The following is a 25,804-nucleotide window of genomic DNA, read 5'->3' on the forward strand; positions in this document are numbered from 1 at the left end:
AGAGGTTGGCCTTATTCATCCCACTGGAAAAATACTGAGTGCCTACTGTGTGCCAGGCCCTGAGCTAGCCACTTGGGACACAGCAGGGCATTACAATGGCGGGAAAGGGTGAGTCCATTAAGGAGGAGATGTAAGAAGTTTGATGGGTTTGGTGATGAAAAGATATGACCCCTGATTGCTTTTGTTTTCCTAGTGCAGCAAATACCAAGGGAAGAGTCTGAGTCTGTTTTCTGTTGCTATAAAAGAATATCTGAGACTAGGTAGTTTATAAAGAGTAGAGGTTTATTTAGCTTATGGTTTCACAGGTTGGGAAGTTCAAGGGCATGGCCCTGGCTTCTGGCAATGGCTCTTATGCTGTGTCAAAACATGGTGGAGATGATCAAAAGGGAAGCAGGCATATGCAATGAGGGGAGGATCTGAGGGGCTCCTGGCTTTATAACAACTGACTCTCACTGGAACTAATCTATTCCCACAAGAACCAATCCCATCAAGAGAGAGAGGGCAGAAACTCACTACCAAGCCAGAGAACATCACCAAGCTATTCATGAGGGATGTTCCTCCACAGCCCAGACACTTCCTACTAGGCCCCAACTTCCAACACTACCACAGTGGGATCACATTTCAATGTGAGTTTTGGTGGGGACAAACTCCATCCATATCCAAACCACAGCAGGCAGGATCTGCAAGTGAAGCAGAAGAAGTTGTGTTTGGAGATTTGAGAAGGTGTGAAATATTACTTGGGAGAGTGGAAGAATGAACTGATGAGTTAATATAGTAGGACTGCTAGGCAGCACTTGAGGCTTGAGGTCATACATTTACAGTGAAATATACCTTGGCGTTCTTCTCTAGCCTCATTTAACTAACCAATCAGGCTTTAGTGCAAAGCAGGGAAAAGGTGGATCAAACTGGAGTTGGGTTCTTTGCCAGGAAAGTGGCAGAAGAAGAAAGGAGCCAGCAGAGTTGAAAATGTGGGCAAAGAAGTGAGTGCAATGGCAGGCCATGTAATATAAGCCAAGGAAGGATGAGTGTGTAGATGAAGAGGGCAGGGTTAATGGGTGAGAATTTCTCAGGGGGTGAAATAATTTTTGTAATGAGATTCTAGAGAGACCAAGCTAGAAAAATAGCAGATGGAGTTATCCTCAACTCTTCTTTGTCTCATAACTTAAGCGAATCCTGCAGGATTCACTTTCCAAATAAACCTAGAAACACCACCACTGCCACTCTGGTCCCAGCCACCCTTGGCTATCACTTGCCTGGATTATTGCAAGGGCCTATTGTCTTGTCTCTGTGCTTCTGTCTTCCACTCTCTATGGTCTAATTTTCCTACAGACCAATCCCGTTAAATAATCAATCAGATCATGTTACTTCCCTGCTCAACTCCTCCAGTGACTCCCCATCTCACCCAGGAGCAACTAATCCAAAATCTTTACTATGGCTAATTAGGTCCTATGTGATCTGGTCCTTGGTTATTTCCTCCAAAGTCATTATCGCCACTCTTCCCCTTGCTCAGTGCCCACTTGCTCTGGTGTGTGGCTATTCTTCTCGCAGGATAACTAAAATAAGGTTTCCAGGCCTTCCCATGTGCGATGTTCTTTTTTTTTTTTTTTTTTAAAGTTTTATTTTTTATTTTACTTTAAGTTCTGGGATACATGAGCTGAACGTGCAGGTTTGTTACATAGGTATACATGTGCCATGGTGGTTTGCTGCACCTATCAACCCGTCGTCTAGGTTTTAAGCCCCACATGCATTAGGTATTTGCCCTAATGCTCTCCCTCCCCTTTGTCCCCACCCCGCTGACAGGCCCCGGTGTGTGATGTTCCCCTCCCTGTGTCCATGTGTTCTCACTGCTCAACTCCCACTTGTGTGACGTTCTTATATGTCACTCGGTAGTCTGCTCTAATGATGACTCTCAGAGTCCTTCTTGGACACTCAATCTAAAATGGCAGTCCTGTTGCTCTAGAACTCCCCTTACCATTGTTTTATTTACCTTCATAACACGTATCACCACCTGGTGTTGTATGATGCTTGTTTGTTCACCATGATCTTTCCTTCAACAGAAGTGGCTTTGGTTCACTTGATGGCTTCTCAGGACTTAGAACAATGCTTGGCATATTGGCAAGACTGAATAAATATTTACTCAGTAAATGAATGAGGGGGTGAGCAAGATGGTGGCCGCGCACGAGGTCAGGTGTTCAGCTATCCTCACCGCTATCTGGTCCTCGATCTCACTCCGTTGTTTCTGATGGGAAGCAGTACAGTTATACCTGGGCACCAGGGGCAGCCTGACAGAGGCTGAGAGGCTGCTGGCCGCCAGCTTGGCCATCACGGCCGGCACCGTCCTCCTCTCTGCCCACTTCCTGCTTTGGCAGACCCTGGTGTCGTGGGCGGACTGGGCCCTCAGCGCCACACTCCTGGAGCTCCACGGCCTGGAGGCCATCTTGCAGGTGGTCGCCATCGCTGCCTTCGCCAGGCACTTCTGAAGACAGGTCAGGGCAGGAAGGCCGAGGATGGGAGCGCTGCAGAAGACAGCAGCCCTAGGCCGCTGGAGAACAGCTGCAGTGCTTAAATTCTGAGCCTCAGTCCACTAACATCTCAGCAGCATTTGCACTTAGCGCTAAACAAATTCTGTCTCTGTGATTTTTTTTTTCCATTTCTAGATTTACTATAAGTGATCCTTAAAAAGTATCTAATCTGTTATTTTATAGTAGCTTTCCTTCACTTGTTTTAATTGTGTGTTTTCGCTGTTTGGAATAATTACGTTCAAATAGCTAGATATTTTCTCTTCACTTTTTTTTTTCTTTTCTTTTTTTTTTTTTTTGAGACAGAGTCTGGCTCTGTCACCCAGGCTGGAGTGCAGTGGCATGATCTCGGCTCACTGCAACCTCTGCCTCGCAGGTTCAAGTGATTCTCCTGCCTCAGCCTCTCTAGTAGCTGAGATTACAGGTGCGTGCCACCACGCCTCGCTAATTTTTGTATTTTTAGTAGAGACAGGGTTTCACCATGTTGTCCAGGTTGGTCTCAAACTCCTGGCCTCAGGTGATCCACCCACCTCAGCCTCCCAAAGTGCTGGGATTACAGGCATGAGCCACCTTGCCTGGCTCTCTTCACTGTATGTTTTACATAAAGCAATATGTATGCCTTCAAAAAAAAAAAAAAAAAGAATGAATAAACTGCTTGTTCAAAAAGCTCACAGAGTACAATAATACCCTAGGCCTTCACATTCACTCACCACACTCACTGAGTCACCCAGAACAACTTCATACCCTAGGCCTTCACATTCATTCACCACACTCACTGACTCACCCAGAACAACTTCCAGTCCTGCAAGCTCACAGGGAACAATCTTACTCCACTCCCCACTTTCTACATAAGGAAATTAATGCCTTAAAGGGGTGTGATGCATCCAAAGAAACACAGCAAGTGGCAGAATTAAACTTGAAACTGATCTCCTAACTCTGAATGCCACCATCTCCTAACTAACTCCCTTCCTCATCATTCACACAACTACACTTTTGGTCTCAGTCCTCAGTGCCGTTTTGCCTGTTGCAACAGCCCCACAACTATTCTTCTTACATACTTTACCCTCTCTGGATCCCTCCCCCATTTCCTGACTATCCAAGTCAGAAGAATTTCTTTTTCACCTAGTACTGTATGCCAAACACTTATAACAGCAGGTTATATATAATGCTTTTTATTCTACTTAGTTCTCCCTACCCTGGAGAGCTATAAAATCCTTAAGGCATGTAGAGATATCTTATTAATCTTTGCATTTTGCAGCATCTGATATATCTCCTACACTTTTTTTTCTTTTCTTTTTTTTTTTTTTTTTGAGACAGAGTCTAGCTCTGTCGCCTAGGCTGGAGTGCAGGGGCATGATCTTGGCTCACTGCAACCTCTGCCTCCTGGGTTCAAGCAATTCTCCTGCCTCAGCCTCCCGAGTAGCTGGGATTACAGGTGCCTGCCACCATGCCCAGCTAATTTTTGTATTTTTAGTAGAGACGGGGTTTTACCATGTTGTCCAGGCTGGTCTCAAACTCCTGACCTTAGGTGATACACCCACCTCGGACTTCCAAAGTGCTGGGATTACAGGCGTGTGCCACTGCGCCTGGCCCCACATACACTCCTTTTTGGGGGGGGGGCAGGGGGGAACAGAGTCTTGCTTAGTTGCCCAGGCTGGAGTGCAGTGGTGCGATCTCAGCTCACTGCAAGCTCCGCCTCCCGGGTTCACGCCATCCTCCTGCCTCAGTCTCCCGAATAGCTGGGACTACAGGCACCCGCCACCATGCCCAGCCAATTTTTTTTGTATTTTTAGTACAGACAGGGTTTCACCATGTTAGCCAGGATGATCTCAATCTCCTGACCTTGTGATCCACCCGCCTCAGCCTCCCGAAGTGCTGGGATTACAGGCGTGAGCCACCACGCCTGGCCACTGGCCCCACATACACTCTTAAGAAACATTTATTGCACTGGCTGCTTTCTGTTTCTAAAACATTCTTCCAGAAATGAATGATTTTTCTGTTTCTAAAATGTTCTTCCAGAAATGCTCATTCTTTCAATCCCAATCACCTCTATGCTGAGTAAGGCCTATCCTTTTCATTTAACATTGCAACCGTCCCTCCAGTTTATTTTACTCGAGCATATGCCACTTTCTAACAGAGCAAAATTACTTACAGTCATGTGCAGCATAATGACATTTCAGTCAACAACAGGCCGCATATATGATGGTGGTCCCATAAGATCATAACGGAGCTGAGAAATTTCTATTGCCTAGTGATGTTGCAGCCATCATAACACAGCACAACGCATTACTCTTGCTTGTGGTGATGCTGGTGTAAACAAACCCACTGCCCTGAGAGTCATATAAAAATATGACACATATAAAAATATGAGGCCCGGCTCAGTGGCTCACACCTGTAATCTCAGCACTTTGGGAGGCTAAGGCGGGTGGATCACCTGAGATCAGGAGTTTGAGACCAGCCTGGACAACATGGTGAAACCCCGTCTCTACTAAAAATCTACTAAGTATTGCTGGAACCCAGGAGGCAGTGGTTGCAGTGAGCTGAGATCGTGCCACTGCACTCCAGCCTGCGTGACAAGAGTGAAACTCCATCTCAAAACCAACAAAAAAACAAAATATGACACAATTATGCATAATACATCATACTTGATAATGATAACAAGTGACTATGCTACTGGTTTATGTATTTACCATACTATATTTTTTGTTATTTTATTTTATTTTATATATATATATTTTTTTGAGACGGAATCTCGCTGTCGCCCAGGCTGGAGTGCAGTGGCGCGATCTCGGCTCACTGCCGGCTCCGCCCCCCGGGTTCACGCCATTCTCCTGCCTCAGCCTCCCGAGTAGCTGGGACCGCAGGTGCCCGCCACCTCGCCTGGCTAATTTTTTGTATTTTTAGTAGAGACGGGGTTTTGCCGTGTTAGCCAGGATGGTCTCGATCTCCTGACCTCATGATCCGCCCGCCTCGGCCTCCCAAAGTGCTGGGATTACAGGCGTAAGCCACCACGCCCGGCCAGTATTTTTTGTTATTTTAGAAGGTATTCCTACTTATGAAAAAAACTTAACTGTAAAACAGCCTCAGGCCGGTCCTTCAGAAAATATTCCAGAAGTGGGTATTGTTATCATAGGAGATAACAGCTTCATGGGTGTTATTGCCCCGAGGAACTTCCAGTAGGACAAGATGTGGAGGGGAAGACAGTGATATTGATGCTGCTGACCCTGTATCCTGTGTAGGCCAAGGCTAATATGTGTGCTTGTGTCTTAGTGTTTAATAAAAAAGTTTAAAAAGGAAAACATTTTAAATAGAAAAATGGTTACATAATAAGGATATAAAGAAAATATCTTTGTACAGCTATACAATGTATTTATGTTTTAAGCTGTGTTATTACAAAACAGTCAAAAAGTTTAAAAAATTTAAAAGCTTACAAAGTAAAAAAGTTACAATAAGCTAAGGCTAATTTACTATTGAAGAAAGAAACATATTTCTTTTTTGTAGAGATGGGTTCTCAGTTTGTTGCCCAGGCTAGTCTTGAATTCCTGGACTCATGCAATCCTCCCACCTTGGCCTCTCAGAGTGCTGGGATTACAGGTGTGAGCCACTGAAACTGGCTAGAAAAATTTTTCTTTGTAAATGTGGTGCAGCCTAAGTGTGCAGTATTTATAAAGCCTGCAATAGTGTACAATAATGCCCTAGGCCTTCACATTCACTCACCACACTCACTGACTCACCCAGAGCAACTTCCAGTCCTGCAAGCTCCATTCATGGTAAGTGCCCTATTGAGGTGTACCATTTTTCATCATTTCTGCTGCATTTTTATTGTGCCTTTCCTAGGTTCAGATACACAAATGCTCACCATTATGTTACAATTATCTAGAGTATTCAGTATAATAACATGCTGTAGCCTAGGAGCAACAGGCTATATACCGGGGGTCCCCAGCCCCAAGGCCGTGCACTTGTACCCATCTGTGGCCTGTTAGGAACTGGGCTGAACAGCAGGAGGTGAGCGGCAGTCAAGCAAGCATTACTGCCTGAGCTCCGCCTCCTGTCAGATCAGCGGCAGCATTAGATTCTCATAGGAGCGCAAACCCTATTGTGAACTGTGCATGTGAGGGATCTAGGTTGTGCGCTCCTTATGAGACTCTAACTAATGTCTGATGATCTGACATGGAACAGTTTCATCCCAAAACTGCCCCACCCACCCCAGTCTGGTCCATGAAAAAATAGTCTTCCATGAAACTGGTCCTTGGTGACAAAAAAGCTGGGGGCCACTGGGCTATCCCATCTAGCCTAGGTGTGTAGTAGGCTGTACCGTCTAGGTTTGTGTAAGTATACCCTATGATATTTGTACAATGACCAATCACCTAACAATGCATTTCTCAGCATGTATCCCTGTCATTACACAATGCATGACTGTATTTGCTCTTAGTGCCTCCCCGTGAAATCAAAGCTCCATCAAAGACAGAGATTTCTTGCATTTGCTTTACTGTTACATCTCCAACACCTAGAATAGTCTCTGGCACATAGAAGGTGATCAATAAGTCCTTATTTTGCAAAGGAATTATAATTTTGTGCTTGAAGGAGCTCTTTTTCAGAACACATTACAGAGGGGTGAGGAGTGTTTCTGGGTCCTAAATGACCACCACTGCTGGCTGTACAGCTTGGATGCATCCGTGCATCACAGTGACCTAGTGAATGGCAGGAAGGGCCATGAAGATTAATAAAGATTTGGACTCAGGGCAAATATTTACTTAGTAGCAATAACTCAAAGAATTACTGTTGAATAAATAAGCCAACTAAGCAGCCAATCACGTACTATGCGGATGCACACAAATGAAACCCTCACTTCAACCTGAAGACATTCGCACATGAGTTACGTAGAGGGACCTGCAGGAAGCGGTAGAGAAAACATAAGGCTTATGCGTTTAATTTCCACACCAATTTCAGGATCTTTGTCACTGACAGCAGCACTAAGACTTGTTAACTTTATATAGTTAAGAAGAACAAGGCTGAGCGCGATGACTCACGCCTGTAAGCCTAGAACTTTGGGAGGCCAAAGCAGGCAGACTGCTTGAGCCCAGGAGTTCCAGACCAGCCTGGGCAACATGGCAACACCCCATCTCTACAAAAAAATACAAGAATCAGCTGGGCGTGGTGATGTGTACCTGTAATCTCAGCTACTCGGGAGGCTGAGGCAGGAGGATCACTTGAACCCAGGAGGTTGAGGCTACAGTGAACCGTGACTGCGCCACTGCACTCCAGCCTGGGCAACAGACTCAACAGAGTGAGATCCTGTCTCAAAAACAAAAAACAAAACAACAACAACAACAAAAACACAAAAAACAGAGTGCTGCAATTAATCGAATCATGAGGAATAAGCAAAAGGATGGAAAACATGCCCTAAGGTCATCGAATTGGCTACGTTATAGTGGGTGGCAAGTGGCTTTTTTGATGCTCCACAGAATCAAGAAATGGTTAATACAACACTGAATGAGGTAGCTCAAAGAGAAGAATGTTAAGGAAAGAAGGGAGTGGGGGAGGCAGGAAGGGGAAGAAGGCAGTTAGCTATTATGATAGTATAATTTGTTAGCTGATATTTAATTAGTATATAATAATGTCTAATTAATATATATTTGATAAAATAATTTGATATTTATTTTATTCTGAAACCAATTTCTTAACAGAGATTGCCTTGAGATGACATTCAGATCTAATGATTTAACATTTTTCTAATATACTTCAACTTGGTTCTACTTATTTAAGAAAAGGAAAAATACAAGTTCCCCATAAATATCTCTAATGATATATTCCAAGGATTTCAAAATACTTTTACCCGAGAACAAGATTAACCTGAATTTTTATTTTTATTTTTTGAGAAAGGGTCTCACCCAGTTGCCCAGGCTGGAGTGCAGTGGTGCAAACACGTCTCACTGTAGCCTTGACTTCCCGGGCTTAAGCAATCCTCCCACCTTAGCCTCCCGAGTAGGTGGCACTACAGGTGCGCTACCACACCCAGCTAGTTTTTGTTCTATTTTCTGTAGAGACAAGGTCTTGCTACATTGCCCAGGCTGGTCTTGAATTCCTGAGTTCAAGTGATCTGGCCACCGTGGCCTCCCAAAGTGCTGGGATTACAGGTGTGAGCCACCACGCCCAATCAAACCTGGATTTTTAAAAATCACAAAAGTAACAAAAATTTTATAGCAGCAAAGAAAGTTAAGATTTGAAAGTGGCTGGTGCTTTTGTAAGAGACCAAATATAGGAAAGCCATGAGGGCAGACACTGTAACTTGGAGAGGGTTGGGAGGGACCCCAGAAAATAGCTCTCCTCCCACAAACACCAGGCAGGTCCTCCCCACTGTCTACCTCCTCCCTTTCACAAAAAGAAGGACGCTGTGGGTCCCAAGGAGACCTGTCAAGGGTCCCACAGTCAACTTCTCATTCCTGGTCTAGTGATGCCAGTGCCAGCAAATCACACTAAGGTAATTATTACGGAAACATTTGTGTTTACTGGGATGTCATGACATATCACATCATATAAAGGATGACTTTTATATATATTCCCTTATACACGACCATTTTCTTCGCACTCATTTTCAGCAGGATAGGAGCCTGTTTTCTAGGGGGTGATTTGTCGACCCTCTCACACACATCTGGGAGAGGGCTGCTTGGCCATCGGGGTCCGTGGCAATGGTACAGAGGAGTAGAAACTAATGCAGAGGCTAACTTCCCTCAGAGTTGAGTGTCATGGTAAGCAAAGAGCTATGTGAGAATTTAGAAATTATTTTTCCATTCTCCAGAAAAATCTTAGGATGCTGTCATGACAATGCCAATTTGCTAGTGGTCTCTACACACCCAGAAACCATCTGTCTCACTGGGCCCCACTATAAACTTCTCTTCCTTCTCTGAGCATCAGTATAAGGCTAAAGTGTATCTGAATAAACAGAAGTCCTACTCTGTAATTCACCTTCTGGTTTTCATTTTCCACTCATGCCAACAAGAGAAAAATAAAAATTTTCAAAATTAAGGTTCAGATTAATTTTGAAATGGCTGCTTTACTCATTATAGTAAGATACCGTCTTTGTATATTTTAAAGGCTCAAAGGAGTAATCCAATATGTGAAAATACCTTTCAAGAAATAGGAAAAACATTCTGTGATAAAAATCTGGGTGGGGAGGTAAGGAATAGGAAGTTGTTGACCAAAGGGGACAACATTTCAGACAGGAGGAATAAGTTTTTAGATCTATTGCACAGCAGGATGACTACAATCTCTAATAATAAATTGTATATTTCAAAATAACTAAGAGTGTAAATTTCAAATGTCTTGCCGTAAAAAAAAAGGTAAGCACAGTGACAGATACGTTAGTCTGATTTAATCATTCCATATTGTATCAAATCATCACACTGTGCTCCATAAATGTATATAATTATGACTTATCAATTTAAAATATTAATTACAAAATGTAGACCAGGCGCGGTGACTCATGCCTGTAATCCCAGCACTTTGGGAGGCTGAGGTGGGCAGATCACTTGAGGTCAGGAATTCAAGACCACCAGCCCAGCCAATATGGTGAAACCCCGTATCTACTGAAAATACAAAAATCTGCCAAGCGTGGTGGCGTGTGCCTGTAATTCCAGCTACTTGGGAGGCTGAGGTACGAGAATTGCTTGAACCTGGGAGATGGAGTTTGCAGTGAGCCAAGATTGCATCACTGCACTCCAGCCTGGGCGACAGAGCAAGCAAGATCTCACCAAAAAAAAAAAAAAAAAGAATCTAAAAAACAATCTGGGTGAAGATCATTTGAAGATCAAAAATTTAAGGTAGTAATTTCCCTTTTGCTTTTTGAGGCAGGGTCTTGTTTTATTGCCCAGGTTGGAGTACAATGGAGTGACCACAACTCAAATTCCTGGGCTCAAGGGATCCTCCTGTCTCATCCTTCCAAGTAGTTGATACAACAGATGCATGCCACAATGCCTGGCTTAATTTCCCATTTTTTGATCAACTATTATTTTATTCTCTGAAGTTACCTATTTGAGGAAAAGGACAATAAATTTTGAATAATGTTCTCCAATCAATAAGGCATTTATAAATTGGCCTAATTCCATTGAAAGTTTTTAATTAATTAAAAATGGTTGTGAAACAAAACACTATTCATCAAATCTTATTTTAAGTAATTCCAGTGTCAATCCACATTACTTAGTAAATGAAAATAAAACTACATAAATGAAAATCTTCATATATTTTTACTCTTTCATGTGTATTTAGTATTGAGAAAATTACTTATCTTAAGTGGTTTGTGCATATCACCAGAGATGGCAGAGGAAAAGGAACCCAAATGTAAAATAGCATCACTAAATGAATTGGCTAGTGCAATAATATTAAGTAAATGCACTTCTTCTATTCTGTCTCTATTAATAACACTGAGCACTGTAAACAGTGGGTTCTGCTATTATGATCAGAGTTCTTCTTTGTCATACAACTGAGTCCTTGGTCATATGAAAACTCAAACAAAAGAAATAAGCCCTTTATTTTTCTAACCAAAAAAGAATATTTGAGATGCACAAATACACTGATTTTACGTCTCCTTTATGAATTCCTTAGATTATAATCTTACCTTTTAAAAAATTAGGATAGTTTTATATTTTCTGAAAAGCTGCAAAGAGTATTGCAAGTTTCCTGTGTACCCTTTACCCAGTTTCCATTTATGTTACTCTTACATAATTATGGCGCATTTGTCAAAACCAAGAAATTCACTTGAGACAATACTATTGATTAAAATACAGGCTCAATTTTGATTTTACCAGTTTGTCCACATATATCCTTTCTCTGTTCTGGGACCCAACCCAGGACCCCGTGTTGAACTTTGAAGCTTACCTTTTGATCTGTTTCTTCATCTTCATCTTGGTAATCATCACAGAATGGGCTGGCGTTGGCCGCAAAGGTGGGTCCCTGAGAGTAGTACTGAGAACTGCGGTAGCCATCATGCCGCAACTTATCGCATTCTGCAGAGGGGCACGCAGGGAGGGGAAGGAGGCCATTAAAAAGCTGTACTCCTCTTTACTTACTTTACGTTTACTCCTCTTTTTTACTTTTTAAAGTTATATTTTTCTAGGCATTAATAGGATTTTAAAATAATGATAAAAACAGCTAAGAATTATTAAAGTACCTACTACACACTACATACCATATATCAATTAAATATTAATTAATATTAATACTTGATAAGATTGTATTCAGAGATCACAACCATCCTGTGAGGTAGACACCATCATTAATTCTACTTTACTCACAGGACATTGAAGTTTAGGGTAATTATATTATTTGCTCAATAATGTTATGCAAGTGAGCAGTGGACTCGGAATATTAATCCAGGGCCTTAGTTACCAGATTATGTGATGATATTATTCCACATAAAAAAAAAAAGTGATGCTAATGCTATGCTTGTTTCCTAGACTCATTAGCTGGAAGTGACACATGAGATCATGGATTATAATGCTCTCATTTTATATTAATTTTCTCAATTTAATTTTGATGTCAAACAGCCTGTAAATGCTGTGTGGAATTTAATAGGAAGGCAGGTGCCAGCCTGAGACATCTGCCAGTCCACAGAGGAATGCGTGGCACCACTATGGTGCCATGGATCTCGGGGTACTGGGGCCACTGGCTGTGTGGAAAGGAGGATCCCCTTCTAGGGGAAAGCACTGTGCTGGCGGCTCTCATGGGTGGGGGCCGGTGCTGTAAGAAAACTTCCAATGGCTCTTTAAAGCACCAAGATGCACAAAGGGGCATTTGCCTCAAAAAAGGATTTGCCACAGGGTTCCTTTAACTATCCAGCTTTCTAAAGGAGCACAAAACGTGTGTGGTTTTGGAAAAGTTTTCTCTTTGCATAGCTTTATAAAAACCATGCACCTACAGGCACAGAACTAAACTAGGGCATCTTCAGAGTTCCTTTCTGACATCAGGATCCATGATTCTTCCTCAAAGAGGAGACGGCAGTCACTTCAGTGGAGGGCTAAAAATATTAGACCAATTTTAAATAAGCCAGGGGATAAAAAAAAAAGTCCTGATTCTCCTTTGCTACCTCACAGAGGGAGTGGAAGGACAACGTTTACAATTCAGAACTGCAAATCAGACAAAAATGAGGATCTGTTAGAATGGCAAACTAATGAAAAAATGCATATGTTAATCATAAAATAGCTAACTAATACTACTTCAGTTACTTATAGGTCAAAAATGTTGTGGTCTGGGCTGGCAACTACTTGTAATATTGATTAAAATGGATATTTAAAGAAAATTTCTGAAAATTCCAGAACACAACATATTTTTAATGAGAATTTACTCATATTAATCTAACTCTTTATAAGAAATATTTTCACATTTTCTCCATTTGACAATTTTCCTGAAATAAAGAGTATGATTAGAAACTATATTCTCAGGCTGGGCGCGGTGGCTCATGCCTTTAATCCCAGTACTTTGGGAGGCCAAGGCAGGAGGATCATCTGAGGTCGGGAATTCAAGACCAGCCTGACCAACATAGAGAAACCCTGTCTCTACTAAAAATACAAAATTAGCCAGGTGTGGTGGCGCATGCCTGTAATCCCAGCTACTCGGGAAGGTTGAGGCAGGAGAATCGCTTGAACCCGGGAGGCAGAAGTTGCGGTGAGCCGAGATCGCACCACTACACTCCAGCCTGGGCAACAAGAGTGAAACTCGGTCTCAAAAAAAAAAAAAAAAGAAGTTTTATTCTCACTCTACAGAGATAATGTTATATAAAACATGATTAGTAGTTTTCTTCTTTTTTTTTTTGAGACAGGGTCTTACTCTGTCACGCAGGCTGGAGTGCAGTAGCATGATGATCACGGCTCACTTCAGCCTCAATCTCCTAGGCTCAAGTGATCCTGCCACCTCAGCTTCCTGAGTAGCTGGAACTATAGGTACATGCCATCACACCTGGCATTATTTTATTTTTTTTATTTTTTAGATACAGGGACTCACTATGTTACCTAGGCTGGTCTTAAACTCCTGGACTCAAGCGATCCTTCCACCTTGGCCTCCCAAAGTACTGGGATTATAGCCGTGAGCCACTGAACCCGGTCTGATTAGTAGTTTTCAAATGGTATTTTCTGCAGAGTTCAGGGATTCTGTAAATACTGGATTAGATTTTCTTTAAATAGCCACCTTAAAGCTAAGATTAAAAAATAACACTCAAGAATGGCTACAATTAAAAAGCAAGGCCGGGCATGGTGGCTCACACCTGTAATCCCAGCACTTTGGGAGGTTGAGGCCGGTGGATCACTTGGCGCTAGGAGTTTGAGACCAGCCTGGGCAACATGGCAAAACCCCGTCTCTACTAAAAATGCAAAACAAAAACAAAAACAAAAAAAAGCCAGGCATGGTGTCACACGCCTGTAATCCCAGCTACTCCATAGGCTGAGGCAGGAGAATTGCTTGAACCTGGGAGGCAGAGGTTGCAGTGAGCTGAGATTACACCACTGCACTCCAGCCTGGGCAACAGAGTGAGACTCTGTCTCAAAAAACAAAACAAAACAAAAGTCAAAAGCAACAGATGTTGGCATGGATGTAGACAAAAGGAAACATTTACACACCATTGGTGGGAATGTATATTAGTACAACTTCTATGGAAAACAGTATGGAGATTTCTCAAAGAACTAAAAATAGAATGACCATTCAACCCAGCAATCCCACTACTGAGCATCTATCCAAAGGAAAAGACATCATTATAGAAAAAAGATACCTGCACTCATATGTTTATCACAGCACTATTCACAACAGCAGAGCTATGGAATCAACCTAAGTATCCATCAACAGTTGACTGAATAAAGAAAATGTGGTAGATACACACCATGGAATACTATGCAGCCATAAAAAAAGAATTAAATCATATAATTTGCAGCAACCTGGACAGAGTTGGAGGCCATTATCCTGAGTGAAATAACTCAGAAACAGAAAATCAAATAGTGCATGTTCTCACCTTATTAGTGGGAACCAAACAATTGGTACACATGGACACACAGATGGAAATAAATAGACACTGGGGACTCCAAAGGGAGGGAGGATGGAAGGAGGGTGAGGGTTAAAAATTACCTACTGGGGGCCCGCGCCAGTAGCTCACGCCTGTAATCCAAGCACTATGGGAGGCCGAGGCAGGCGGATCACCTGGGGTCAGGAGTTAGAGACCAGCCTGGCCAACACAGAAAAACCCCCGTCTCTACTAAAAATACAAAAATTAGCCGGGTATAGTGGTGGGTACCTGTAACCCCAGCTACTTGGAAGGCTGAGGCAGGAGAATTGCTTGAACTTGGGAGGCAGACTGCAGTGAGCCCAAGATCATGCTATTGTACTCCAGTCTGGGCAACAAGAGCGAAACTCCATCTCAGAAAAAAGAAAAAAAATTATCTATTGGGTACAATGTTCATTGTTTAGGTGATGGGTACACTACAAGCCCAAAGCTCACCATTACACAATATACCCATGTAACAAACCTGCACATATACTCCCTGAATCTAAAAAAAAAAAAAAAAAAAAAAAAAGACTCAAGTTCAATAGTTTTACATACCAAATTTTAAGACAATGAGGGACTTAATTTATTAACTTATGCTGCTAAATTAACTTTCCTGTGGTCCTAGAAATAAAGCTATTCCTGCTATCTCTGTAAAACTAAAGTCTAAAGATCAGAGTGAAACTTGTAAAATAAACCAATATAAACTATTACCATTTGCAGCTACTTATCTATGTAATTCAGGGTTTTGAAATATTTCACAAATATAGAGAGAAGTCCAAAGCCCTTTTAAACTAAATTAATTTGTTGTTCAAAATTGTTTTATTTGTTTCATTAAATGAACCCTATAAGAAGTTTAAATTATAGGGTAGGGCATAGTGGGTCACACCTGTAATCCCAGTGCTTTGGGAGGCCAAGGTGGGAGGATTGCTTGAGGCCAGGAGTTCAAGACCAGCCTGAACAACATAATGAGACCGCATTTCTAGAAAAAAATTCTTTTTAATTAGCCGGGCATGGTGGCATGTGCCTGTAGTCCCAGCTACTCAGGAGGCTGAGGCAGGGGCATTGTTTGAGCCCAGGAGTTTGAAGCTGTGGTGAGCTATGATTGGGCTACTGCACTCCAGCCTGGGAGACAGAGCAAGACCATGCCTCTAAAATGTATAATAATAGTAAAATGACTAATAATAAATAATTATGTTTTAAAAATTTAAATTATAAAACTTAACACTACTCAAACATTACTTTTACAAATATATGTAAGGTATTGGATACCAAGGAAGACTGTGTTTCAAAAGGACGTTTCCCTGGGAAATAAGAAGAGACTGCTGGGCAAGATCATTTCTAAGGATGATTATTAGTTTTATATTCTTGGCAATAATATTGAAAATAGCCAAAATGACTTGACACGTGTTAGATTTTAAAAGACCAAATATTGCAAAATCATCATCCACAAGTTAAAAGCATGAAAGACCAGCAACTATTAGTACTTCCAGTGTGTGTCACCTTTTTGAGCCCAGTTTAGAAGACAATGCATCTTTTTTTCACCATGAAATTTATGTCACTTTTTTTTTTTTTTTTTTTTTTTTTTTTTGAGACTGAGTTTCGCTTTTTTTGCCCAGGCTGGAACAGAGTGCAATGGTGCAACCTCTGCCTCCCAGGTTCAAGCGATTCTCCTGCCTCAACCTTCTGAGTAGGTGGGAATACAGGCATACACCACCATGCCTGGCTAATTTTTGGTCAGGCTGGTCTCAAAGTCCTGACCTCAGGTGATCTGCCTGCCTTGGCCTCCCAAAGTGCTGGGATTACAAGTGTGAACCACCGCGCTGGCCATAAAAATGTTTTAATAGCAGTATAATAAATGGTAGTAGAACAAATGAAATATGATGCTGATCTAAGATAAGACTAGACAATATAAATTCATGGCAGCTGACCAATTTTTTTTTGCTCTTATCACATTTCTGAAATCTAGTAAACTCATAAAATTCCACTGTCATTTATTCCAACTCTAGAGGAAATTCAGAAAATTCTCCTCTTGTCAAGTTGCAACAGAGCTCAGGTTCTAAAACCATGGTTTTGTTCATTAGAATTGGAGTTTCTTGTCTGTGGGGTGAAACAAAAGTGAGAGCAAGCCATCACGAATAAGCAAAGACTTTTTAAACACTGAACTGAGAGAGTAACTGCAAAGCAGAGCATAATTTAAAGCCAGGTTATGCCTGCGACCACAGGCTAGAAACAAGATCCTAAATGTAAAAGAAGACCAATCGTTCACACATATTCTTCTTGCAACAGAAATTTACAGCAAAACTGTGTTATTGTTCTCACACTACTGCTTGGATAAAGGTATCACTGTTGGTTGTGTCCTCTAGTTTCCCAACCTTAAATTTCCTCCTCCTTCCTTTCGTGTCAATCCATTTTCCATAGCACAAGGACGAGGGACAAACATTTCTTGGTAGACCAAAGTTTCAAATACAGAAGAAAAAAATAATGTCATAGCGCTAGATGGTCATCTGACTCTCACATGAATTTATTACTGCTGTGGCCTCCAAATCTCTATGCATTAAGCTATTCTTTAGTCATTCAATTTTTAATATAGTAGTCCCTGACTTATACTCAGGGTATATGTTCCAAGACCCCTGGTGGATGCCTGAAACCACAGACAGTACCAAATCCTATCTATTGCTATGTTTTTTTCCTAGACATCTATACCTATGATAATGTTTGAGGTGTGACAGGAAAACTAGCAGGAGCTTCTTTTTCCTTTTTCACAATTTCTCAGATGGAAGATTCATTTTTACCATGGATCTTAGCAACGTCAGCATATGATTTTCTTTTGCTGTCCTTTTTAAGTCAAAAGCTTTCACCTTTTCACTTAAAGGAGACACTTGACAGCTTCTTTGGCATATCCAAATGGCCAGCATTACTCCTCTTGTCCTTTGGGGCCATTATTAAGTAAAATAAGGGTGACTTGAATACAAGCACTGAGATGCTGACAGGCAATCTGATAACCAAGCTGGCTACAAACTGACTGATGGACGGGCAGTGTCTGCAGCGTGGATCCGATGGACAAAGGGAGGTTTCATGTCTTAGGCAGGATGGAGGGGGCTGTTGTGAGATTTCATCACACTGCTCAGAATGGCAAAAACTTTAAACTTATAAATTGTTCACTTCTGGAATTTTCCATTTAAAATTTTCAGACCATGGTTGACTGCAGGTAGCTGAAACTATGGAAAGTGAAACCACAAATAAGAGAGGACTACTTTAAACATGCTATTATCTACATGAGGAAAATGCAAGGTGCTTTGTGATGCTGATAAAAGTACGTGGACATTTTTATCACTGACTTCTGTAATTTGTCATGATGGATTTCTTCATATGCATAATTCCACAAAAGGAAGCATACGATGCAGTGAAAATTTTCCCAAGTTTATTATAAAGATTCTGAAATATAATCTGAAGGGGTAAAGTCCTTAAATAGATGGTTACTAAGTATGACCTGCTTAAATGAGAGGGAGATGGAGAAATAGAAGAAACAGAAATTGAATGCGAAGTGGAATAAGATGGGATTGTTTTTCTATTTCCCAAGAAAATGATATGGGAAGATGAGGGGATGCTAAAAGAAAAAAAGTAAGAAGTTTGTTGACTTCTTAGATTGCGTGAGAAAGGCAAAGAACTGACGGAAGCAGCAGTCATTCCTCTGTATCAGAAGGGGATTGGTTCCAGAACCCCAGAATATCAAAATCCATGCATACTAAACTCCTGCAAATCGTAGACCCAGAAAGTCGGTTTTCTGTATAATGCAGGTTTCACACCCTGTGAATATTGTATTTTCCATTCTCATTTGGTTTCAGATGCAGAAAATACCTGAGTATTGTATTTTCCATTCGCATTTGGTTTCGGTTGCAGGACCCAGAATGTATGGAGGGCTGACTGTATTGAAAAAATCCATATAAGTGGACCCTCCAAGTTCAAATGTGTTGTGTTCAAGGGTCAACTGTATTTCAAACAAGCACTGCAGTGTGAAAAGCCAGAAGGACCAGTTCGGTAGGCCAGTTGTCATTTTTCCGGTCATGGGTAGTGTTGACGTGTATGAGTATGAGCTCCTAGGAAAGTTTTGAAACATTCAGGTCAAAGCATAATTTGTTATTTCTAGCATGGTATTCTACATATATCATATTTTAAAAACTGAATGTGGTTTATTTTTAATAGCATTGAATCTTTTGCAACCTTCCTACTGTAATTCAAGGTCATTAAGCATTGGGAGGACTCCAGTCCCAAAGTTAATTATAAAAATAGCAGTCATGATGTACTGCTTCAGTGAGAAAGTCCTATGATGATCTAGAGTCTAAAAAATCTTTTTTCGGATGACTGATTTTTAAAGCTAATACTACTGACACTTTTTAAAACTGAAAGCCTCTTGTTATCATTACCTGATTTGTGTTTACAATAATTCTCTGAGAATTGAAGGAAAGCAGTTATTGTATCAGTCTTACAGATTCTGAAGCCCAGGTATAAAGTTTCTGGTAGATCGAAGTTTTTAAACTTCTATCTCAGTTAATAATCTACCAGATTATTAATAACAGGGTAAAAGGCCAGTTCTATCACAAAACTTCATCTTAGTCCAGAAGGACTGAGAATACATAAGACTATAAACATTCATGTTTAGAAGAAAATGAATTCCAGCCCAATAGCTGAATGAAGTATTGTATAGCTAAATAATCTAGTTTGAGCTTTCAAATAAATACACAGGAAAAACTGACTGCACCTAAATATCATGTATTGTGAATATTAGAGAACTTATTTTCTTAATGAAAAACCAAACCAAAGTGCATTTAAAATAGAAGGGATTTATTTACCTACCCCTTCATAAATTTGTTGGGCTTGGCAATACTGGAAAAGAGAAAGAAATCATACTGATATAGTTAGGATTCTCCCTTGTCACTCATGCACGATGAATTTTCCAAAAATATGTTTAGATTTTCCATAAATTCTTCAAAGCAGTTGAACTTCAATTTATTTAAATTGTCTTCAACAATAAACAAACTAGAACATAATTAAAAGACAATAGATGTTCAAACATTTAAGTCACTCAGTTGTGTGTAGCATATCAAAGAGGTGAAAAGCTGTTTTAAATCTCAAAGACACTGTGTATTTAATACAGATCTTTTCAATGAATATTTTCCTTTATAATTTATAGTAGTTTTAAATAAGTTTCAAATAAATAGGCCCTTTTGGTTTATTATTAGACTAATGATTTATTCTTTTCTCCCTTCCCCTCTTTTTAGAGCAAGAGCTGTTTTATGTAGCTATACAGGAATATGTATAACAGCATAAAAGCATGCTTTTATATTTCAAGTATTAAACTCAAATTTGCCTCCTAATAAATGCAAATTTGAGCCCATAAGACCACTTCTTCACCAATTATCACTTCAGTGACACTTAGCATTCAAAGTAACATAAAACATAAAAAAGAGAAAATACATGTCTTTAACGAGTAAGCCCAAGACTTTCTAAAAGTTCTAAAAGTAAATATTTTATCTCTTAATGGAATCTATAAAGACAAAACATTCCAGGTAATAGAGTACAATGTGCTTAGCTGCAGGTGAAGCAAGAAAGAGAGGGCCAATATGAAAGTATGCCAACTATCACCCTGGTGTCAGGGAAAAGGGAAATTTCCTGAAGGGACTAAGTCTTACTTTGCCTTAAAAAAAGAAGATGAAGCCGGGCGTGGTGGCTCACGCCTGTAATCCCAACATTTGGGAGGCCAAGGCGGGCGGATCACAAGGTCAGGAGTTCAAGACCAGCCTGTTCAACATGGTGACACTCCATCTCTATTAAAAATACAAAAATTAGCTGGGCGTGGTGGCGGGTGCCTGTAGTCCCAGCTACTCAGGAGGCTGAGGCAGGAGAATTGCTTGAACCCGGGAGGCGGAGGTTGCAGTGAGCTGAGATGGCACCACTGCACTCCAGCCTGGGTGACAGAGCGAGACTCCGTCTCAAAAAAAAAAAAAAAAAAAAAGGAGGATGAAAGTTATCTAGACTTATACCACCAGAAAGTTGGAAAAGAGAAAGTCAAGCTGGTGACAATTATGTTTTCTTTCCAACCTCCAGGTTCAGTGATTCTCCTGACCTGTGCTTTGGCCAGCCATTTTTTTCTAAACCTCTGAATACTCTTCTTCCAGACAGTCAAGGCAGAGCTAGCTTGGAGAAAACACAGAATGAATACACAGAGGCATCAACACCAGTTTCTCAAGTCACCTTTGCCACCAACGAGAGAGAAGAGCAGCAGCAGTCAAGAGCACCAACTCTGAAACTGGGTAGCTGTGTCTTGGAATCCTAACTTGTAGCTTGTAAAGGGTAGTGGGACTAAAGGGTTACATTCCCGCCTTCAAGGTGCTTACAGTTTAGCTGCCTGATTAAACAAATTCACAGGCCAATGTACAGAGCAGTGGCATCCCAAATTAAGGTACATCAGAATCCCCTGGAGGGCTTGTTATAAAAATACTGCTGAGTCCACTCCCATATCTGATTCAGTAGGTCTGGGATGGAGCCTGACAACTTGGATTCCTAGCAAGTCCTCAATCAATGCTGATGCAGCTGTCCTGTGAGCCACACCGTGAGAAAACTGTTTCAGAGTAAGGCAAATACCTAAAGAGAAGTAGAAATAAAATTAAAGGGATCAACATGATATCCATTTAGGGTGGAGGTAAAAGTGAAAGAGGAGAAGTCTTCTCTACTCAGAGGAGGTGTTCGGTGGGGATCCCAAAGAGGGCAATAGAATTTTGCTTCCTACATATTCCACATGACAAATGATAAAATGCCCAAAGGAAAAGAGGGTTGGTCTGTTCTTTTTATTATGTCACAAATGATCCACACTCGCCAAGCGAATAACTTAAAAGGGAACATAGGATAAAGAATTTAGCTGATATGGTACAGATCAATGGTGGGGGAATGCTATATCTGGTATCTACTTTTAGTCCCTAAAGAATGCCATTTTGTTTCAGGAAAAGCTTTAGCTTTGCTACTGTAGAAATGTGTCTTACATGTCAAGATTTCCTTAAAATGCTTGGAGGGTTCTTACATTTATTTTAACATTCCACTCCAGCTGCAACTGCAGGGAAAACTTCCTGATCAGGCCTCCACCATCTCTCACCTGATGGTGACCTCCACCTGGTCTCCTACATTGACACCCCTGTCTCCTTTACTGTGAACTTTCAACACACAATCAGATGGATCCATTTCAAACTAATGAGTCAGATTATGTCACTTCTAAGTTCAAATCTCTCCACGCCCTGAATGTAAAAGCCAAAATCCTCCTAATGGTTTCTAAGCCCTACATGATATGGCTCAATGTGGGTGGCTGGCTGGTGCTCGGTGAGTTCCTTAAATGAATGAATGATCTGTATTTGTTGGACAGTAGCGTGCTTGAAGGGGTACTGTAACTATATGACAAAGGTGATGGCCCCATTGGTCACCCAGGTAGATTTTATCCTCAGCCACATTTTCCACCTTCATTAACCCAAGGCATATGACCTGACCTCCCATTAAATGGGCCTCTTCTCCCATCCACAACTCACATATTTGAGTAATAAGAGGATGAGAGGAGAGTAGGTGGAACAGAATGAATAAGGAAGATGATGTCTGGTGCACCATCATGGTTATCTATCCAAGGAAATTTTGTCTCAGTAGAATTTCAGGGAAACTGACCAATCTAGGATTAAAAAGCTAACTGCATCATGGGCAACTCCCCAAAGCTTTCTAGTCAGACAGAACAGATGCCACAGGAAAGCTGCATTTTCAGAAAAAGCTTGCAGGCAAGTGTAGGCGGGGAGTAAGATGTAAGAGAGGAGGTGGTGACAGAATGCTACCTTTGAAATGGACAGGTTTCTTTGCCAGGGGAGGGGGTAAAAAAAAGGAATGATAAGCAGACTGCCTAAAAATTATTTTATAATAACACAATTCCAAATGACTTCTCATTTACAATGTAAATATACAATTTACATTGTATATTTAGCAAAATAAAATGACCAGGTTGGGAAGAACCACAGAGGGAAAATACACTACTAATTGTGGTCATCGGCTCAACAGTCAAACTGGAAATGAATTTGTTAACAATGCATTAACACATTTTAGAAAGACTGGTTTTCCCCCATGTCTTGGGACCAATATCTCTGTCACTGACATTAAACACCATAGACAATCTCATTTTATGTAGAAGGGTTAAAAATAAACGGCCATTTTGATTAATATTCTTGCTCTGTGATTAATTCCTATTAGAGTGAAATTAAAACCTCCCAAAACAAAACAAAACAGACAAACAACAACAAAAAACCTTAAGGAGTTAAACATTAAAAGTTGAGCCACTGGATAAACTGTCTGTTAGCTTTGTTTTTCATTGCACACCATGGCAAGAATTATTATTAAAATGTCATTTGCCATTGCAGAAAACCAGCTTTTAACATTTCTTCTTGTCACATGCCCAGATTAATTTAAGAAGCCTTGAAGAACTAAATCTGATTTAAATTAAGGTGAGAGCTTTCTGATGCCATGATTAATGTGAGTGTGCTGAGAGTCTGCAAGTCCTAGTTGAGCACCACCAGAGAGAGCAGCCAAATTGGAGGCGATCTCATTTCACTTTAGAATTAAAAAGCCGTATCATTGGCAGCAGAGGAGCATCACCAAGGTTACTCAAGATCAAATCGCCTGCAAAGATTCTAAGCCAACACGGGAGACTTCGGTTGTATCGTGAATGATAACAAACCTTACCAACAGTACCTTCAATGTATCGTTTTTATGCTGCCCTGAGTGAAATATAGAGGCCACTCAAGTTACTTACTTTATCGGGAGTTAAAATAGAATTGCTGAAACAGCAGACTGGCTACAGACACAAAAACAAAACAAAAAGCCTTTTGTTTAAACAATCCGCAGTGCTTTGTTAAGACCTGGATCATTTAAATGACTGTCTTTGCCATTCTATCTTTTCTGTGTTGCTTACCGTTAAAAAAAAAAAAAAAAAAAAAGGTATGGGGGTGGGGGCAACACGTCTCTTTAACTATCTGAAAAAGCAATGATTGTTCATTTTTCCTTTGCTCTTGCATCCAACTTCCCTCTCCCGAGTTAAGGACACCAAGGAAAGCACTTCTTTTGGAGTTACTGTACCCAGAGTAGTACTTAGTATTATAGAAAATTCCGTGCCATCAAATTCAATAGGAGAAGTTAAATAGCCCCTTTTTGTATATAATTCCCATTCTGTTAATCCCATATTTTTGTCTGCTCTTTTCTTTTTCTCAATAGGGCATTTAATCCGTGGTTTCACCCGGCTGGGCAACTTTCCCTCAGGACAAAAATTCCAATAGAGCCAAATGAAATACCACACATATTTTTTTTAAGCCTTTAATAATATCATTTGTCTTTGAAAAGTCAACCTAATTAAATTCACAAGACCTGAGCGAGAGAGCACCAAATAAAGTCATCCTTTTCACCAAAGAACTAACAATATGGCGGGGGCCACATTGCAAGCAAGGCTCCCACACCATGTAATGAACAGCCTCGATCTCTGGCTCCGTCTCATAACACGCTTCCCCAATTCCCTCTAGGAGACAGAGGCCGCAACCTCCGACCCTCCGCTTTGCCCTGAGTTGACTGCCTCCTTCCTGCTTCTTCAGAGAACATCCTCCCATTCTCTTTCCATATCTGTAATCCTTTCCCCTCCTGCTGACTCCTTTTGTCTACGGCCCTGTTTTCATAAGCTCTAGTTTTTAAAACATGTAATAATATCAGCTGTACCGTGCCACCACCTCAAAATACTATCCCTTCCCTCTCTGTTCTGTTGGCATCATTCACTCACCTTTATTTCTTTAAAACAATTACTTTTATTGTTTTTCTGCTTATAAAAATCCTTCTTATCTCAGGAAATCTGGCTTCTTAATCTAAAGACTTCCTTGAAACTGCCCTTTCAAAGGTCACCAATCACCACCTAACAACCGATTCAATAGCCTTTTCTTACAATGACTCTCTCCCCACCTGTGAGCGCCATGATGACTGCCTCATCCTGGCTAAACTTTCTTCTTCCCCAGTTGTGCTCTTTTGCAGACTTCTCCCTCCCAGTGCCCTAAAGTAAAGCTTCCAAGCCTCAACCGCCCCCCTCCTCACCACTGGCCCTCTCCATCCCCAATCTCATCACTCCACATTCTCACTACTTGTTCCCCGGCTTTGACTCTGATCTCTCTCCTGTGTTTTAGGTGACTTTTCCAAACATTTTCAGGCCTTCTACAAACACAACAGTATTTGCAGTCCCAGTCACTGGACTGTGTGCTGGGGACACACAAGTGAAAAGACAAAGCCCTGTTCCCATGGATGTTACTGTCAAGTAGGGAGATAAACATGCAAACACAATTATATAGTGTATCATAAGCAGCAGAATGGTGGAGTGTAAGCTTCCATGACAAGGTAGAAAAGGACTTCCTGGGGCTACCCAGGGGAAATCCAGGAAAGGTTGTGGGGGACTCTAGCACCCAAGGATGACTCACAAAGGGGAAACAGGAGTTGGCCAGGTGTGAGAGGTTGTGGTTCAGAAGGGAAAAAGTATGGCTTGGGACATGCAGTAGACAGAAAGAAGAACAAGACAAGCTAGCATTCCAACTGAAGGACTTTATCATTACACGTGAAGGCACAAAGTAAAAAAAATTGGGTGGAGGAGTAGAGATGTCTGGGGAGCAAAGGTGATTCTGCAGATGAGATGAGACAAACAGGCTTGAGTTCAGGAAGGTTTCTAGATGCTAAGAGCTTAGGTTATATTCTGTTAGTAATGGGGAGCTGGTAAAGAATTTTTAACTAGGGCAGGCTGACCAAGTTCGTTTTAAAGATAACACCCAGTGTTGAGGCTTAATAATACCACCGCTATGAACCTTGCACATAAGCTAGTCATACATACATCTTATCTCTGGCTAGCTTTCAGCCTCTGGAGGAAAGCATTGACGACATTCATCTTTGATTGCACTATAATATCCAGCCCAGTGCTTCACTTGCAGTATGCACTTAGACAATTTTTCCGTCCATACAAACTTAAGATTACACATCCCAGTTTGTCAGGACTTAGGCTCAGCCATCGGTAATATCTTTGTGTCAGTTAACTTCACACATATTACCCTTAAACAGTTAAGTACTGAGAAGCCAATCAGAATTTTAGAGCTTAGAAGGGAACATAGAAATCATAAATTGTTTTTCAGAGGTGGAAGCCAAGTACGAAGATGGGACCTGACTTCCAATA

The 25,804-nt window shown here is 41.1% G+C and overlaps 1 protein-coding gene across 26 annotated transcripts in view, besides 1 other annotated feature; it reads right to left on the bottom strand.

Annotated features, from left to right (window-relative positions):
- Positions 1–25,804, bottom strand: part of NHSL1 (NHS like 1) — a 271,170-nt gene that overhangs the window by 39,870 nt on the left and 205,496 nt on the right. For 24 of the 26 annotated variants that reach the window (XM_047419113.1, XM_047419109.1, XM_047419110.1 and 21 more), the window contains one exon: positions 11,394–11,521. In XM_047419113.1, coding sequence (XP_047275069.1) covers positions 11,394–11,521 — 128 coding nt within the window. Of the gene's footprint in view, positions 1–11,393; positions 11,522–18,399; positions 25,802–25,804 lie in introns of those variants that run through there. The other 2 variants (XM_011535971.3, XM_017011088.2) reach the window with 2 other exon arrangements.
- Positions 24,178–24,797: an enhancer, noted in NCBI's record as "NANOG-H3K27ac-H3K4me1 hESC enhancer chr6:138807227-138807846 (GRCh37/hg19 assembly coordinates)". NCBI's record gives its function as "activates a minimal SCP1, AML or CMV promoter by ChIP-STARR-seq in naive H9 embryonic stem cells {active_cell/tissue: H9 hESC(naive)}" and the evidence as "EXISTENCE:reporter gene assay evidence [ECO:0000049][PMID:30033119]".

The sequence above is a fragment of the Homo sapiens genome, chromosome 6, assembly GCF_000001405.40.
Source record: "Homo sapiens chromosome 6, GRCh38.p14 Primary Assembly".
Classification (NCBI taxonomy): domain Eukaryota; kingdom Metazoa; phylum Chordata; class Mammalia; order Primates; family Hominidae; genus Homo; species Homo sapiens.